General features: G+C 43.0%; 1 protein-coding gene and 1 long non-coding RNA gene across 10 annotated transcripts in view, besides 6 other annotated features; one reads left to right on the forward strand and one right to left on the reverse strand.

The window, feature by feature from the left end:
- The window catches only part of SLAMF1 (signaling lymphocytic activation molecule family member 1), a 38,939-nt gene extending 36,783 nt beyond the window's left edge, over positions 1–2,156 (reverse strand). For all 9 annotated transcript variants that reach the window (NR_104401.3, NR_104400.3, NR_104399.3 and 6 more), the window contains exon 1: positions 1,982–2,156. Coding sequence is in view for 6 of the 9 variants with exons in the window: in XM_005245456.5 (XP_005245513.1) it covers positions 1,982–2,057 (76 nt within the window). In the remaining 3 variants the exon portion in view is untranslated. The remainder of the gene's footprint in view (positions 1–1,981) is intronic.
- Positions 1,988–2,197: an enhancer, noted in NCBI's record as "active region_1939". NCBI's record gives its function as "activates an Ori minimal core promoter by ATAC-STARR-seq in GM12878 lymphoblastoid cells {active_cell/tissue: GM12878}" and the evidence as "EXISTENCE:reporter gene assay evidence [ECO:0000049][PMID:35858748]".
- Positions 2,121–14,988, forward strand: LOC107985220 (uncharacterized). The gene is made up of 2 exons (XR_001738266.2): positions 2,121–2,447; positions 2,585–14,988. It is a non-coding gene; the product is annotated as an uncharacterized LOC107985220 (long non-coding RNA).
- Positions 2,238–2,287: an enhancer, noted in NCBI's record as "active region_1940". NCBI's record gives its function as "activates an Ori minimal core promoter by ATAC-STARR-seq in GM12878 lymphoblastoid cells {active_cell/tissue: GM12878}" and the evidence as "EXISTENCE:reporter gene assay evidence [ECO:0000049][PMID:35858748]".
- Positions 7,159–7,969: an enhancer, noted in NCBI's record as "OCT4-NANOG-H3K27ac hESC enhancer chr1:160621837-160622647 (GRCh37/hg19 assembly coordinates)". NCBI's record gives its function as "activates a minimal SCP1, AML or CMV promoter by ChIP-STARR-seq in naive H9 embryonic stem cells {active_cell/tissue: H9 hESC(naive)}" and the evidence as "EXISTENCE:reporter gene assay evidence [ECO:0000049][PMID:30033119]".
- Positions 7,970–8,780: an enhancer, noted in NCBI's record as "NANOG-H3K27ac hESC enhancer chr1:160622648-160623458 (GRCh37/hg19 assembly coordinates)". NCBI's record gives its function as "activates a minimal SCP1, AML or CMV promoter by ChIP-STARR-seq in naive and primed H9 embryonic stem cells {active_cell/tissue: H9 hESC(naive and primed)}" and the evidence as "EXISTENCE:reporter gene assay evidence [ECO:0000049][PMID:30033119]".
- Positions 7,970–8,800: a biological region, named in NCBI's record as "NANOG-H3K27ac hESC enhancer GRCh37_chr1:160622648-160623458".
- Positions 8,641–8,800: an enhancer, noted in NCBI's record as "active region_1941". NCBI's record gives its function as "activates an Ori minimal core promoter by ATAC-STARR-seq in GM12878 lymphoblastoid cells {active_cell/tissue: GM12878}" and the evidence as "EXISTENCE:reporter gene assay evidence [ECO:0000049][PMID:35858748]".
- Positions 14,989–15,837: the final 849 nt, after the last annotated feature.

A 15,837-nucleotide genomic window follows, 5' to 3' on the forward strand; every position in this document is an offset into this window, starting at 1 on the left:
GAGGAACTGCATGGAGGAATAAAAAAAACTCATTGACATAAGGTCATCAATTATAACAAATGTACCATCCTGGTGGGGGATATTGATAATAGGGGAGGCTATGTATGTATGGGGCAGAGGGCATATGGGAAATCTCTGTTCTTTCTGCCCAACTTTGCTGTGAACCTAAAACTGCTCTAAAAAATAAAGTCTATTAAAACAAATCTCATCGGGGGAAATGAAAAATTCACTTTACTTGGGGAAGGGACATGTGGACTTTTTGATTTTTACAATTCTGACTGGGAATTAGAAGTTGAGCTGAGTAGAAATGAGAATGGGAGTGGATGCCAGTTTTACAAGAATCAAGCTTCTTGCTTGGGCAAATCTGTCATGACTAACCTGCCCCATTTGCAAAGCATTTCTGTCTGGGTTTTATTGGGGCTTCACAAAAGGGTGTGTATTTAAAAATAAAAACACTGAAAAACTTTTGTGAAGATTCAAAGAAGAAAACATGCAATGAAGTGAGCAGCCTCCGATTGGATAGACTTGCCTTGTGGGGCTGGGTTGCTTCTCCCTGACCGGCGACTTCCAAAGCCTCAATAAGACGAGCTATTGGTCAGCAGTGCCTAAGATGCTATGGGCCAGGCTGGCCAAGAGGCTAGCAAGCACAGAGATGGAAAAGTCCAGTTCACAGTTCAGCACCATCACTCCATCACACCTTACAGTCACCAAGAGGTGCTCCAGAAATGGTGCAGTCACAAATTGGTTGCAACAACGGAGGCTTGGCTTTCCCTGTGACCACTTAAAGTGGCTCGATTTGGTTTTCTGAGCCCCGAGCTCAGTTCTTCCTCCCCTAGACCTTGGGAAGTACGAGCCATGGATCTGCAGATTCCAAAAGAAAGTGGGCTGAGCAAGCCCTGTTCGTCTGGCTGTCTGGTAAAAGACACATCCATTGTGCAGCACCCCCACATCCCTGGCATATCACGGTGCTTTTCCTGGAAAAGTCCATATTGGATTTGCGGTCTTGAAAACCCCAAGCTTAAAACACCCTGGGCCTCAGGATTTCCCCCCGTGTCCGTAATGCCACCTCTTCTACTCCAGGCTACCTCCCACAGTCTAAACAAATAAGCAGAAGGAGATTCTCACCCCACTCACACAGGCAGTCCAAAGTCCACTTCTTGCTTGGCTTTTTCTTTCTCAAATACCTTTTCTCATAGCCCTGATACTTCTAAACAGAAAGCAATAGCCTGCCTTGGGAAGAAGATAGACAGAAAGACAGGAACAGAGTCCAGATCCAAAGGTAGCTCTTGTCTGGCCTTCCTGCTGGAGCTACTCTCTGAGGGTTCCCAATTTGCATTTCCCACATACTGTAACCAGCCCTAGCCTTCAGAAATCCCAACTTCTTCCCTCTTGCTTTCTTGGACCTTCTCTTCCAAGAAAATACACACCAGTATGACCGCACTGTGGCCACTGCTGGTTCTCAGCCAAAAGCCTGGAGTTTTCACTTCTACTCTCTCTTCCCACTCTAGCCAATGCTTTCTGTTGACCCATGCTCCTGGTTTGTCAGCCTGCATGTGCACAGATTCCCTCCCAGGGCAGGGATGTAGGGCAAATCTTCTCCCAGAGCTCAGTCCATCCAGCTCAGTCTCTCTAGGCTGGGTCTTTGCCAGAAGATGCCCATGTAAAACCAACCACTCAAGCAAGACTTCTACCAGGGCCTGTCACCCTAAGACTGGTCAGAAAAGTGACTGGAGCCTTTGGCTTAGAGCCCCTCATTTCCTTGGAAACTGGGGTTGGTGGGGCTGAGTCTTGGAAACCCAAGGGCCCAGGAACTTATAATGTTCCTTCCTCTTTGAAAGAGGCAGTTGAAACTGACAGCCAGTCCCTAAGGAAGAGTGACCAAACACAATACCCAGCCCTGCACCTTCTCTCCATCCACGAAGATACGCTGATTCCTGGCAGCTAACATGGGACTCAAACCATCAGGCAGATGAACACTCACCTGTTCCGTAGCTTGCCCCAAAAGCCAGGGAGAGAAACAGCACGAAGGTCAAGGAGAGGAGCCCCTTGGGATCCATCAGCCAATGAGGAGAAGGAAGGGATCCTGGCCGGAGCCTGGCAGCTGCTCACAGATGCCAGGCAGAAGCAAGCTTCGTGTCATGCAGCAGAGGCTGTCTGATTTATGTATCAGGAACCAGCAGGTTCCTGAACCCGCTTCCTGTATCACTGGGACTTTTTCTGCTTGTGTCTTGAGGATTGCTCATCTCCCATGAGGCTTTAAATCACTTTTTTGTTCTCAAGAAGCAGGCTTCTCAAGAAGCCAGGCACTTAGCCTATGGGAGCCAGGAAAGGGGGTGTGTAGTCACCTCGGCCAAAACCCGGCTTTGGGCAGAAACATGCGCCCCAGCTTCTTTCCTTAGCTGTCTCCAGGAACCGGATGTTGCAGATTCTCTGAGCAGTTCTCTCCGGTAAGTCTTCTTGGATTGCAAAGAAAAGATGTTTCATTGGATCACTCCTCAAATTTGGCAGTTCACAGCTGAACTTAGATAACTGCATTTTGATGAGCTAATAGACCTCTTACTTCTGTTTTATTTCATAATTTCAGATGACACCTCAACATGCAGTCTGGTGCAGGTGCCACTGTCACACAGAGATGGGAAGGGCATGTGCGGGTCACTTGGAAGAAACCCTGTGACCCCGATGAGTGCAATGTGGTATAATTTAGTAGCCCATGCTCCTAGTTTGTCTTCTTGCATGTGTGTGGATTCCCTCCCAGGCAGGGATGTAGGACAAATCTATCCCAGAGCTCCATCCTTCCAGCTCAGTCTCCTTGTTGTGTGTGTGTTTTCTCCTCTAATTTTTAACGTCTGTGGGTACATAGTAGATATACATATATGTGTGTGTGTGTGTGTGTGTGTGTGTGTGTGTGTGTGTGTGTGTATGTATATATATATGTATGGGGTATGCATATATTTGTATGGGGTATATGAGATATGTTGATAGAGGCATGCAATATGTAATAATCACACAGGGTAAATGGGATATCCATCACCTCAAATATTTATCCTTTGTGTTACAAACAGTGCAATTATATTTTTATTTTTAAATGTGCAATTAAATTATTATTGACTATAGTCACACTGTTGTATTATCAAATACTAGTTCTTATTCATTCTTTCTATTTTTTTGTACCCATTAACCATCCCCACTTCTTCCCCAACCCCCACTACCCTTCAGCCTCTGGTAACCATCCTTCTACTCTCTATGCCCACAAGTTCAATTGTTTTAATTTTTACCTCTCACAAGCAAGTGAGAACGTGCAAAGTTTGTCTGTCTGTGCCTGGCTTATTTCACGTAACATAATGATCTTCAATTCCATCCATGTCATTGTGAATGACAGGATCTAATTCTTTTTTAGCTGAATAGTACTTCATTGTGTATATGTACCACATTTTCTTTATCCACTCATCGGTGATAGACGCTTAGGTCGCTTCCAACCTTGGCTATTGTGAATAGTGCTGTAATAAACATGGGAGTACAGATATCTCTTCAATATACTGATTTCTTTTCTTTTAGGTGTATACCTACCAGTGAGATTGTGGATCATATGGTAGCTCTATTTTTAGTTTTTTGAGGAACCTTCAAACCATTCTCCACAGTGGTTGTACTAACTTATATTCCCAACAACAGTGTACAAGGGTACTTTTTCTCCACATCCTTGTCAGCATTTGTTATTACCTGTCTTTTGGATAAAAGCCATTTTAATTTAATTGGGGCTGTGTTGTATTCTGGGAGTTGCCTTTATTTTGGAGTTTGTGTCTAACTTTTCATTGAGGAGAAGGAACTAGTATTGGCAGAAGGAGGATCCCGCCCTTTTTCATGAGTTAAACTATAAGAATGGGATACTGGAAGTGTAACCAATGCTCACAGGGAGACTTGAAAGAGTAGGGAAGTGTTTTTAGAGTCCATTGTAACAGGTCATAGGCACTCTCTGATGGGCCTCCCCATGGGGATCAGGTAATAAAAGCTGGTGAGATATGTGAACTTTATCCTCACTGTTTTCTTCCTTCCTTTCCCCAGCACTCAACTGTCCTCCTCACAACTATTCCCAGTGGTGTGTGCTCGAGTCAGCATGTACCAACTCATAAAATTGTTAAATTTTCAGGAATCTGGATGGGCACAGTGGCACGCCTGTAACCCCACCATTTGTGGAGGCCTAGGTGGGAGAATTTTTGAGGCCAAGAGTTTGAAAATAGTCTGGGCGATAGAGTGAGACCTCATGTCTACAAACAATTTTTTTTAATAAAAATAAAAAATAGATTTTCAGGAATCTTGTGAGGTGCTTGATGAACATGGCCATTATTAAACATATAAAATTAAATTAAATTATATAAACTTACAGTTAAGCTGGGCATGGTGGTACATGCCTGTAGTCCCAGGTACTTGAGAGGCTGAAGCATGAGGACCCCTTGAGCCCAAGAGTTTGAGGCTGTAGTATCTTTATAGCAGTGTGAAAACGGACTATCATGATCATGCCTGTTGGTGTGGTTTGCCGCTGTGTCCCCACCCAAATTTTATCTCGAATTGTAATCCCCATAATCCCCAAGTGTTGAGAAAGGGACAAGGTGGGAGGTGATTGGATCATGGGGGCAGTTTCCCCTCCATGCCGGTCTTAAGACAGTGAGTGAGTTCTCACAAGATTGGATGGTTTTATAAGGCAGTATTTTCTGCTCTTGGCTGCTCTTCTCTCTCCTACTGTGATGTGAAGAAGGTCCTTGCTTCTCCTTTGCCTTCCACCATGATTGTAAGTTTCCTGGGGCCTCCTTAGCCATGTGGAACTGCAAGTCGATTAAACCTTTTTCCTTTATAAATTACCCAGTCTTGGGTAGTATCTTTATAGCAGTGTGAGAGTGGACTAATACACCTGTAAATAGCCGCTGCACTCCAGCCTGGGCAACAGAGCAAAACCCTGCCTTTAAAAAAAACTTCACAACTAAATAAATTATATTAAATAGAGGGAATAAAATCTCAAAGCTCATTGTTTCTTAATTATTTTATGACATTACTGATATCTATGTTCTTGAGGTAATTGACATCTCTTATGTGTCTACAGTGGAAATTAAATACTGGAACATTGGTGCTTCTGGACCTCTCTTCCCCACTCTGCATTCAATGGCATAGTGTTGGGAGCTTGAAACTGGCCATGGTGAGAGTTTATGCCATGGAAATCAGCAAGCAATATAAATCAGAACTTTACTGTTTTGTTGATTGTCTAAATGTAAGAAAGTAATAGAGAAAACATAATGATGCAGAGTAAACTTAAACATGTGCCATGACTATGGCCCTTACATTAGGATTAGCATAAAAAATTGAGGAAACATTTTTCCAGTATTCAAAAACTATCATCTGATTCAGCAAAAAGTCACTAGTGTCACTGATGAGCAAGTGATGTTCCAACATATGTTTTTGTTGTTTCACATTTCTTTAACTTCAAAAAAGACATTAACCAACATTCATGTTGGAACTACATTCCTTTGTCACTTGTAAACACAGTTTGGCTGTGGATATGAATTAAGCCAATATGAAAGCAAACAGCCTGTGAGATCTGTGGCTATATGGAATTTACAATAAAGAGGATTGTACATTTTATTAAAATACAATAAATTTTATTTTATAAATTGCGTGTTACACATTCTTCGTATAAGCAAAATTTATAACAAGCTCATTTACATATATGCATATATTATTTTTCAGAGATCTGGCTCTTAACCATTTACCAACACACCACTGTTACAATAACTGAGAATCCAAATGGTGGAGTGAATGGCATACTGTCTACGTATTCATAAAATATCAGTTGAAATAACTAAATGATGTGAGAATATTGGCATCCTGTAAAAATGGGAAACCAATGATCCAGGTCTGATTTCAAGACTGGTGTTCTCTCCTCAAGCTGCACGGCTCCTGGAATGCATGCTGTCTATTCATGTCAAACCTTCCTCTCTCAAAGACAGACACTTATTCTCTTGTTTACTTTGCCCTTCCTCTCATTTCCAGAATTAGACCTTCTCTAGACTCGCTATGAGGCCTCTCCACTCTGATCTCCTGGATCCCCTCTACACAGATAACTGAGCTAATGCTAGGCACTATATGAAGAGTTTTCCTGTTTGGTGCAATCTAGAACTAAATAAAAACATACATTGAATGAGGGTCAGAAATGGTTTAGATGAAGGTTCTGAGGTTCTAGAGTGGATTCTATATAGAGTCCTCTCTGCCCCCAAATTCTTCTTCACCTGGAACGTCAGAATGTGGACTTATTTGGAATCAGGATCTTTCAGATGTAATTAAGGTAAGAATTGAGATGAGATTATACTGGGTGAATCAGAGTGATCCCCAAATCCAATGAGAGTAGTGCATCTTTCTAAGAAATAGAAAAAGGACACACAGAGACACAAAGAAGATGGCCATGTGAAAAGACAAAGCAGAGACTAGAGCTATGCAGCCACAATTCAACGAACACCAGAGACCACCAGACGCTGGAAGAGGCAGAGAAAGATTCTCCCCTTGAGCTTTCAGAAGGAGCAGGTCTTGCCAATATGTTAATTTTAGACCTTGTGCCTACAGAACGGTGGGAGAATGAATTTCTGTTGTTTTAAGTCATCAGGCTTGTGATAATTTTTTACAGCAGCCACAGGAAACTAATACAGGACCTGAGGGGCAATGTGACTAACCAGAGATTTGCAGTTAGTACATTTAGTATACTGAGCTGCTTCCTTGAGCTATTAAGAGCAGATGTCAACAGACCAACAACAGAAGATATACAGGTGATAGTGCCTTGTAGTTACAAAGCCATTTTCAAAAGCCTTCACATTCACAGCCTTATTTGATCCTCCTAACAGCCCTGCAAAGGAGCTGGTGGTGTTTGTAAGGCAGGATCTGGACCAAACTTGGGAATCCTGACACTGATCAGAGCTCTTTCCTTTTTCCTGGTGAGTATCACCATGAATACTCAAGAGAATAAGGAGGAAGGAAATCTTGCTATTGAACTCCCTGGATGCCTGGGGTTTCCACAGTGTTACTTCATTGATCTTGGTAGCAGTAAGAAGCAGGAGTAGTTATCCCCATTTTACAAATTGAAGTATAGTGCTGCTAAATAACTTGCTCAATGGCTCAGAGCCAAAAAAAATGCAAGAGTTGGATTCAAACCCTGGATTATCTGACTCCAGAGTCTGTGCTCTATCCATTCACCATACCACTTGCATTATACCAAGTGTGGGGAAAAGAAAGAGAGATCAGACTGTTACTGTGTCTATGTAGAAAGAAGTAGACATAAGAGACTCCATTTTGTTCTGTACTAAGAAAAATTCTTCTGCCTTGAGATGCTGTTATCTGTAACCCTACCCCCAACCCTGTGCTCGCTGAAACACGTGCTGTGTCAACTCAAGGTTAAATGGATTAAGGGCTGTGCAGGATGTGCTTTGTTAAACAAATGCTTGAAGGCAGCATGCTTGTTGAAAGTCGTCACCACTCCCTACTCTCAAGTACCCAGAGACACAATACACTGCGGAAGCCCACAGGGACCTCTGCCTAGGAAAGCCAGGTATTGTCCAAGGTTTCTCCCCATGTGACAGTCTGAAATATGGCCTTGCGGGAAGGGAAAGACCTGACCGTCCCCCAGCGTGACACCTGTAAAGGGTCTGTGCTGAGGAGGATTAGTAAAAGAGGAAGGCCTCTTTGCAGTTGAGATAAGAGAAAAGCATCTGTCTCCTGCTCGTCCCTGGGCAATGGAATGTCTCGGTGTAAAAGCTGATTGTATATTCCATCTACTGAGATAGGAGAAAACCACCTTAGGGCTGGAGGTGAGACATGCTGGAGGCAATACTGCTCTTTAAGGCATTGAGATGTTTATGTATATGCACCTCAAAAGCACAGCACTTTTTGCTTTACCTTGTTTATGATGCAGAGACATTTGTTCGCATGTTTTCCTGCTGGCCCTGTCTCCACTATTACCCTATTGTCCTGCCACATCCCCCTCTCTGAGAAACACCTGATAATGATCAATAAATACTAAGGGAACTCAGAGACTGGTGCTGGTGCGGGTCCTCCATATGCTGAGCGCTGGTCCCCTGGGCCCACTTTTCTTTCTCTATACTTTTTCTCTGTGTCTCTTTCTTTTCTCAAGTCTCTCATTCCACCCGACGAGAAACGCCCACAGGTGTGGAGGGGCAGGAATCTTAGACAGTCTTCAGGCTCTTATTGGCCAATGGCTCATTATCTGTGAAACATTCCTTCTGGCACAGGCCACAGCGTGGGCAGTAGGAGAATCCTAGGTGAGCACTATTTCCCATCCTGGCCTCCCGTGTCTGTGGCTCAGCACCATTCTTTCCCTTTGGTGATGCAGAGCCCCAACCTGAGAATGAGGAGGACTATATTTCTGTAGAAAATAGCCTTCCCCAAAAAACCTCAAGTGGGTTATGCATGGAAGCCATCTCCTACCTCTTAAACTCTTCAATGGGTCCCTAAGCCTTGCCACTCTCTCTCCTGACACTGTGGCTACGGGCACCAACGTCACCTGCCTGACAGTGTCTGGTCTGGACTGCTCCTGAGTGTCTTGGCTTCCCAGCCAAAGGTCATCATCATCACAGCCTCTGACCAGAGGTCCCCTATAGCATGAACTGACCCCACAGAGAAGGGCCACTAAGGCCAGATCACCTGGCCACATGGAGCTCATCATGAGCACATTTATCTGGATAAGGAAAAAAAAACCTGCAAAACCAAAATGAAAATACAGAATTTCCCCAAACTCCGAAACCTCTCCTAGTAGACCTGACTGAAGAGTCTAAAACTGGCCTGGGGAAAGCACTGGGAAAAAACACCCTGGGGTCCACCCTGCTGGGTAAGATGAGGAAGCCCACAGGGCAGATGGCTGATATGGAGGCTGAGCAGACTAGTCAACCAGATAGCCCTGTTGTGGCGCTGGGGCTGTTAGGGTTGAGGGGAGAGTGGAAAGAAAACTGGGCTTTGAAGTGGCTCTAGCCCAGATCCAGGCCCAGGCTCTACTCAGCTCCTTTATGCTGAATGTTCATGCCTGCCATCAGCTCCCTGGCCAGATGGATGAGCTGAGTGATCAGGCCTGGGGAGGAGGGCTGAAAATCCCACTGGCAGTGCCTTCTTCCCCGTATCCAGTCTGTGGTGCTGGGAGTGCCCACTGCAAGGCCCTCACCAGGTGTCTCACATCAGTACCTCCTCCAGCAGTTCAGACCTGCTTTAGGGAACTGGAATCTGGAAGTGGAGAGACATCTGAGGGTCTTTGCCATCTGAGGACTTCCTCTCAAACTGCTGTCATTTCCACTGATGCTCCTCCATCCTTCCAGACCCCAGACCCAATATGTGGGGATCCCTGCCTTCCTGGGGCCTGCGCTGAACTGACTCTGAATTCTTCATGTCCCTTAAGGGGTGACTGTGACCGAGAAAGAGTCACTGCTTCACAGACTCTCTCCACAGCATTTTTAGAAGCATTCATGGTAGGAATGGGGTGCTTCCTACTACCTTTCAAATGACCTCATGCGGCAGTCATGTAATTTGCTAGCCTGCTTTTTACTGGCATACATTGTTAAAGAAAGGGAAATGCCCATGCCACTCTACTCCTCTAGGAAGGAATAGGGTTCAGGAACTGGTGACAGTGGCTATTAAGTCACCAGCCTCAGATCTTTTCTGTGCTCCAAAAACTGCCTCCCATAACCCTGGTCTGCGTTCTTAGACAGAGTGGTAGATAGAAGATAATTTGCAAAGTACCCTGGAAACCCTGGATAACCACTATCGGAAGCAGAATTCATTTCTGTCTCTGAATAGTTCTGGTCCTTAACTAACCAATGACCTCCCTGAGAAACAGAGACAGCTGGGGAAATGGGGGCTGTGTGCTCCATGAAGTCATCTAATGACCCTCTGAGATACTCATGGGCCATTTATGCAGTCCAGAGCAGCGATTCCTGCACCGTCACACCAAAGAGGTGGGCTGACCTGAAGTGAGTCCAGGAAAGAGGGGAGAGCTAGGACACTTAAGCTGCTTGGAAAAGCTAGCTATAGGGTAGAAATCTTCAGTGAAGAATTCTAACTGGGACCACTGGAGAGAGAGGTGAATTGTGGAAAGTAACTCCAGATGAAGCCGAGTGGTGGAAGCCCAATCCACCTGCTTCTCCATCCACTTGCCTCTTCTCCATCCACCCACCTCTTCTCCATCTACGTGCCTGCCCCAGCACTGACCATGAGAAAACCATTTCATTGGTTTAAAATATAGTGATTCTAAACATCCTTTAATGATATATATATACTTACATGGAGTAACAAATCTAATTGTCTACCACTTAATGACTTTATCAGATAACACTGCTAGTTAAGAGAAAAATATTTAGGAATTGTAGTCTTTTTTTGACTTTAGGGTTCCATCCTCCAATGGTTAATTTTATGTGTCAACTAGATGGCATTATGAAGTGGCCAGATTAAACAGTATTTCTGAATGTGTCTGTGAGGGTGTTCTGGATGAGATTAGCATTTGAATCATGGACTCAGGAAAGTAGATTGCCCTCCTCAGTGTGGTGGGCATCATCCAATTCATTGAGGGCCTGACTAGAACAAAAAGGCAGAAAGAGGAATTTGTCCCTTTTGCTTCCCGCCTGCCTGTTGAGCCCTTGTACTGGGATTTACACCATCAGCTCCCCTGGTTCTCAGGCCTTCAAACTCGAACTGGAATTACACCACTGGCTTTCCTGGATCTCCAGCTTGCAGACAGCAGGTCATGAAACTTCTCAGTCTCCATAATCACATGAGCCAATTCCTCATAATAAATCTTTTTATGTATATATATCCTGTTGATTCTGTTTCTCTGGAGAACCCTAACTAATATTCATCTCCTCTTTTAAAAATCACAAATGTAATATAGCACTGAAGGAAATGTCTTTAAAAGAAAGAAAATAAAATGTGATCCACGTATAGTGGCTTATGCCTGCAATCCTAACACTTTGGGAGGCCAAAGCAGGAGGATCATTTGAGGCCAAGAGTTTAAGATCAGCCTGGGCAACATAATGAGACCCCAGCTCTACAAAAAAAAGTTTTTTTTTAATTAGCCAAGCATGGTGGCACATGCCTGTAGTCCCAGCTACTTAGGAGGCAGAGATGGGAGGATTGCTTGAGCCCAGAAGTTCAAGATTACAGTGAGCTATGTTTGTACCATGCAGTCCAGCCTGGGTGACATAGTGAGACCCTGTCAAAAAAAAAAAAAAAAAAAGAAAAAGGAAAAAAGAAAGAAAGGAAAATCTGCCATCATTTTTTAACTATCACAACTGCTTTCAAGTTTGCAATTTTCCAAACCTTTCTTTATAAGGCAGCAGACGAGTTTAGAACTCTAGCTACATGGTCAGATAGTCCTGGGCCCACGTCCCCATTCTGTTATTTATAAATCATCCCATGTTAGGTAAGTTATTTAATCTCTCTAAGCCACACTTGCCTCATCAGTAACAGAGTTAAGATGAAAAAAAATCTCATAGGGTTGTTGGGAGAAGTAAATGGCATAAATACAAGTAAGATGTTCACTGCAGTGCCTGACATGTGAAAGCCATTTTGCATTTGGTGTCTATCACTTTTTATGGTTTCCTGAGGTGGTCATGATTAATTAAATGACGAACACCATAAAGCTGGAGCTGGGGATGCACAGGAAGTTCTGCTGTGTTGTCAAGATCAAGGACACTCCTCAGAGACATGGAGCAGAATGCTTCAGGCACCCTACAAATGAATGTCATTCCTGGGCATCTCTATTGGAGGCAACAATAACTTTGCAACATAAATTAGGGACAAAAACACACTATAGACTATTAAGACCTTTTAGCAATTGAAGAGAGAGATGGATTTGATGTGATAAGTGTTTTAAAGTCCTGTTATAAAAGAATTGAAATTTCTCAGCATAGACTATCCCATTTCATAAAGAAAATATCAGTGTATAATATGTAACAGGAAGAGTTATATATGTAGACTATGAATCAGAACAGAAAATGTGAAACAGAATGAAAATGTGAACTGAACCCTTGGCCACACCTGATGCAGTTTCACAGAATCCACGTGTGGAGGGATTGGAAGACAATACCAAAATCACACAGTACAGTAAATGCAGTTAGTGTTTATTTTCATTGTATAAAATACCTCTGAGGTTCTCATTCTGTATGGCGGGCTTGGTCGCTTCAATTTATCTTTTTGCTTTATTATACAATTTCAAGTAAAAAATGCCTCTGGGTATCATCGTAAGTAAACATCTGATAGGCTAATCTCGAATAATAATTACAGTTAAGATTCTGGTGCCTGGGATAGACACCAAGTGCCTTTTACTAAGCAGCGGCTTAAGTGAAGTTTTTTCTTGCCTCAGTGGGTTATTCATTCCAGAAGAACATTTGTAACTACAGTCACTGGGTTGCACATAGTTTTGTATTTTTTTAAATTTAACATAATACGTTACAATGACTCACAGGTTGTTGCCTAGTTTAATGAAGAACAATTTCTTAAAGAACATTGTGTTCATTATCTCTCCTCGAAAAAAGAACAAATGAAGATCATGAGATTGTTTAAAATGTCAAATTTTGAAAAGCGTTCTATGGAGTAAAAGAAGTAAAGATCATACTCAGAGATAGACACTTCCTTCTTTAGTTTTATTGTTTCTAAATTTTGCTTTGTTGAGCAAGACCATAGAGTTAAAACAACAAGGAGTACGTTTTATCTTAAGAAATTTTCCCAGGGGTGAATAAGTCAGTTAAGAGGCAGCCTCTTTTTCTGTTGTATTTGTCTTTAAGAAGGATGGCTCATGATGCCCAGTTCTGATGACAGAACCTGGATAAAGACTATTAAAATGAACTCTGGTCTTGTCTGGGCCCCAACTGGCTGGGATATTGTGCTGCATGCTCAGATGGCATTTTGAGACCCAGCCGTCCTTCTTGGATTTCCCTCCAGCCAGAACCTCCAGCAAAAGTTTCTGTGGAGACATTTCGCCTGCAGCTTAGAATATCTACTATTTCTCCTGGATGAGACTCCCACTCCATAAGAAAATCCTTCCCTGGAACAGAGGGCTGGGAGAAAGACAAGCAATTACCGTTGCTTCCTATATTGTTTACTGAACTCTTTAAAACACAAGAATCTATTTTAAGAACATGGGTCCTTAATTTGGCTTGCTCACGGAAGTATGGTATGTCATGGGACTACAAGAAGATGAAAATTCTACAGCAGTACAGCTGAACTTTTCCAAGAGCTCAGCACCAGGTTTAACCTTACTATTATCCACAGGTAATTCACAGATGAGGAAACTGAAGCTTAGAGAGTTAAATAACTTGCTTGAGGTGACGCAGTAAATAAATAGCAGACGCAGTACTTGGATATAATCTCTACTGCCTCTTACCACACTGGCCCAGGATACATGCTGTTTAGCAAAGCCATTATCGGAGTCCTTCATATCTAGGGGCAAGAAGGCCAGATAAGGAGAGACCAGGGAAAGAGAATAGCAGTGATCCTATGCCCTCCCTTTATGACATTCCTTCTAAGTTCTTGCCCCACATCCTAATCTACTTATCATTAAGAATTTTTAACTCTTGACTTCCTTTAGTCTTTCCCGTCTTCTTAGAAACTCCTCCAGCCTTGGCCTGGGGCGCTCTCTTTCTCCCCACTCCTTTCCGCCCTTTGACCTGTCTAGCTCCCAGGAGATTTCTTGCCACTGGCCCAGGTCAACAAACAGACTCATCAGGGGCCTGCCGTAAGCATGATTCTGCTCTTCTTATCCTGAGTTATACACTGAGGCTCCACAGGCCCTGATATTTCTGACGCAAGACAGGTGAGATCCAATATTGGGGCTTAGCCCAGGAAGGCTCTTGGCTTTGCCCAAGAAAGAATTCAAGTGTGAGCTGCTGGTGTTAAACAACAACTTTTACGAAGTGACAGTGTGCAGCAGCAGGACATATACTGTTCCTTGCAGAGCAAGGCTACCCCATAGGCTGTGTGCCCAGAGTAGCAGGTCAGAGGCAGTTATGCACTCACATTTATACCCACTTCTAATTATATGCAAATTAAGGGGCAATTTATGCAGAAATTTTTAGGAAAAGGGTGGTAACTTCCTGGTTGTCAGGTCATTGCCAGGGAAAGGGGCGGTAATTTCTGAGTGTTGCCATAGCAATGGTAAACTGACATGGTACACTGGTGGGTTTGTCTTATGGAAAACTGCTTCCACTCCAGCCCTGTTTCAGCTAGTCCTCAACTTGGTCCTGTGTCTGAGCCCTGCTTCCAGAGTCAAGTCCCACCTCCTACTTTACTTCCACTATTTGACAGACTCATGGCTCTCTATTTGGGATCTTAGATATTTGGCTCCACTATTGCCCAGTTCTGCTCTTCCTTGAATGATTAATGTTTGGACAATTTATACTGCCACCCAAAGAATCTGAGGGTTCAAGTTTGACCTTATGCTAATAAAATTTTTATGCCAAGTAAGTTTCTTTTTTTTTACGTTTTAGATTCAAGGGGTGCAAGTGTAGATTTGTTACATGGGTATATTGTGCAATGCTGGGATTTGGACTTCTATTGAACCCATCACTCACATAGTTAATATAATACCCAATAGGTAGTTTCCAACCCTTACCCTACTCCCTTGCTCCTCACTCTTGGGGTCCCCAGTGTCTGTCTATTGTTTCCGTCTTTATGTCTGTATGTACCCATTATTTAGCTCCCACTTGCAAGTGAGGACATGTGATCATTAATTTTCTGTTTTTGTGTTAATTTACTTAGGATAATGGCCTCGAGCTGCATCCGTGTTGCTGCAGAAGACATGATTTCATTCTTTTTTACAGCTGCATAGTATTCCACTGTGTATACATACCACATTTTCTTTATCCAGCCCACTGTTGATGGGCACCTAAATTGATTCCATGACTTTGCTACTGTGAATAGTGCTGCAATAAACATATGAGTACAGGTGTCTTTTTGATAAAACTACTTCTTTTCCTTTCAGTAGATGCCCAGTAGTGGAATTGCTGAATCAAACGGTAGTTCTAAAATAACTTTGAAAAATCTCCATACTGTTTTCCATAGGGGTTGAACTTATTTACATTCCCACCAACAGTGTATAGTGTCCCTTTTTCTCCACATCCTTGCCAACATTTGTTATTTTTTCACTTTTTAAGAATAGCCATTCTAGCATGTGTGAGATGGTATTTCGTTGTGGTTTTAATTTGCATTTCTCTGATTATTAGTGATACTGAGCCTTTTTCATATGTTTCTTGGCCACTTGCTATCTTCTTTTGAGAAGTGTCTCTTCATGTCTTTTGCCCACTTCTTAATGGTTGATATAAATGGATGTTTTTCACCTCCAAATGTTGAAATGTAATTCCCAGTGTTGGAGGTGGAGCCTAGTGGGAGGTGTTTGGGTCGTAGAGGCAGATCACTCATGAATGGCTTGGTGTCTGTCCTACAATAATGAGTTCATGGAAGAGCTGGTTGTATAAAAGAGCTTGGCATCTCTCTCACTCTCTCTCTTGCCATGTGACATGCCTGCTTCCCATCACCTTCCACTATGATTGTAAGCTTCCTGAGGCCTCACCAGATGCTGGTGCCATGTTTGTACGGCCTGCAGAACTATCAGCCAAAAAAAACCTCTTTTCTTTATAAATTACCCAGTCTCAGGCATTCTTTCATAGCAATGCAAAATGGACTAACACCATGGGGTTATTTGTTTCTTTCTTGTTGATTTGCTTAAGTTCCTTACAGATTCTGGATATTAGTCCTTTGGTGGATGCATAGTTTGCAAATATTTTCCCCCTTTCTGTAGGTTGTATTTACTCT

Source organism: Homo sapiens, chromosome 1, assembly GCF_000001405.40.
Source record: "Homo sapiens chromosome 1, GRCh38.p14 Primary Assembly".
In the NCBI taxonomy this organism is placed as follows: domain Eukaryota; kingdom Metazoa; phylum Chordata; class Mammalia; order Primates; family Hominidae; genus Homo; species Homo sapiens.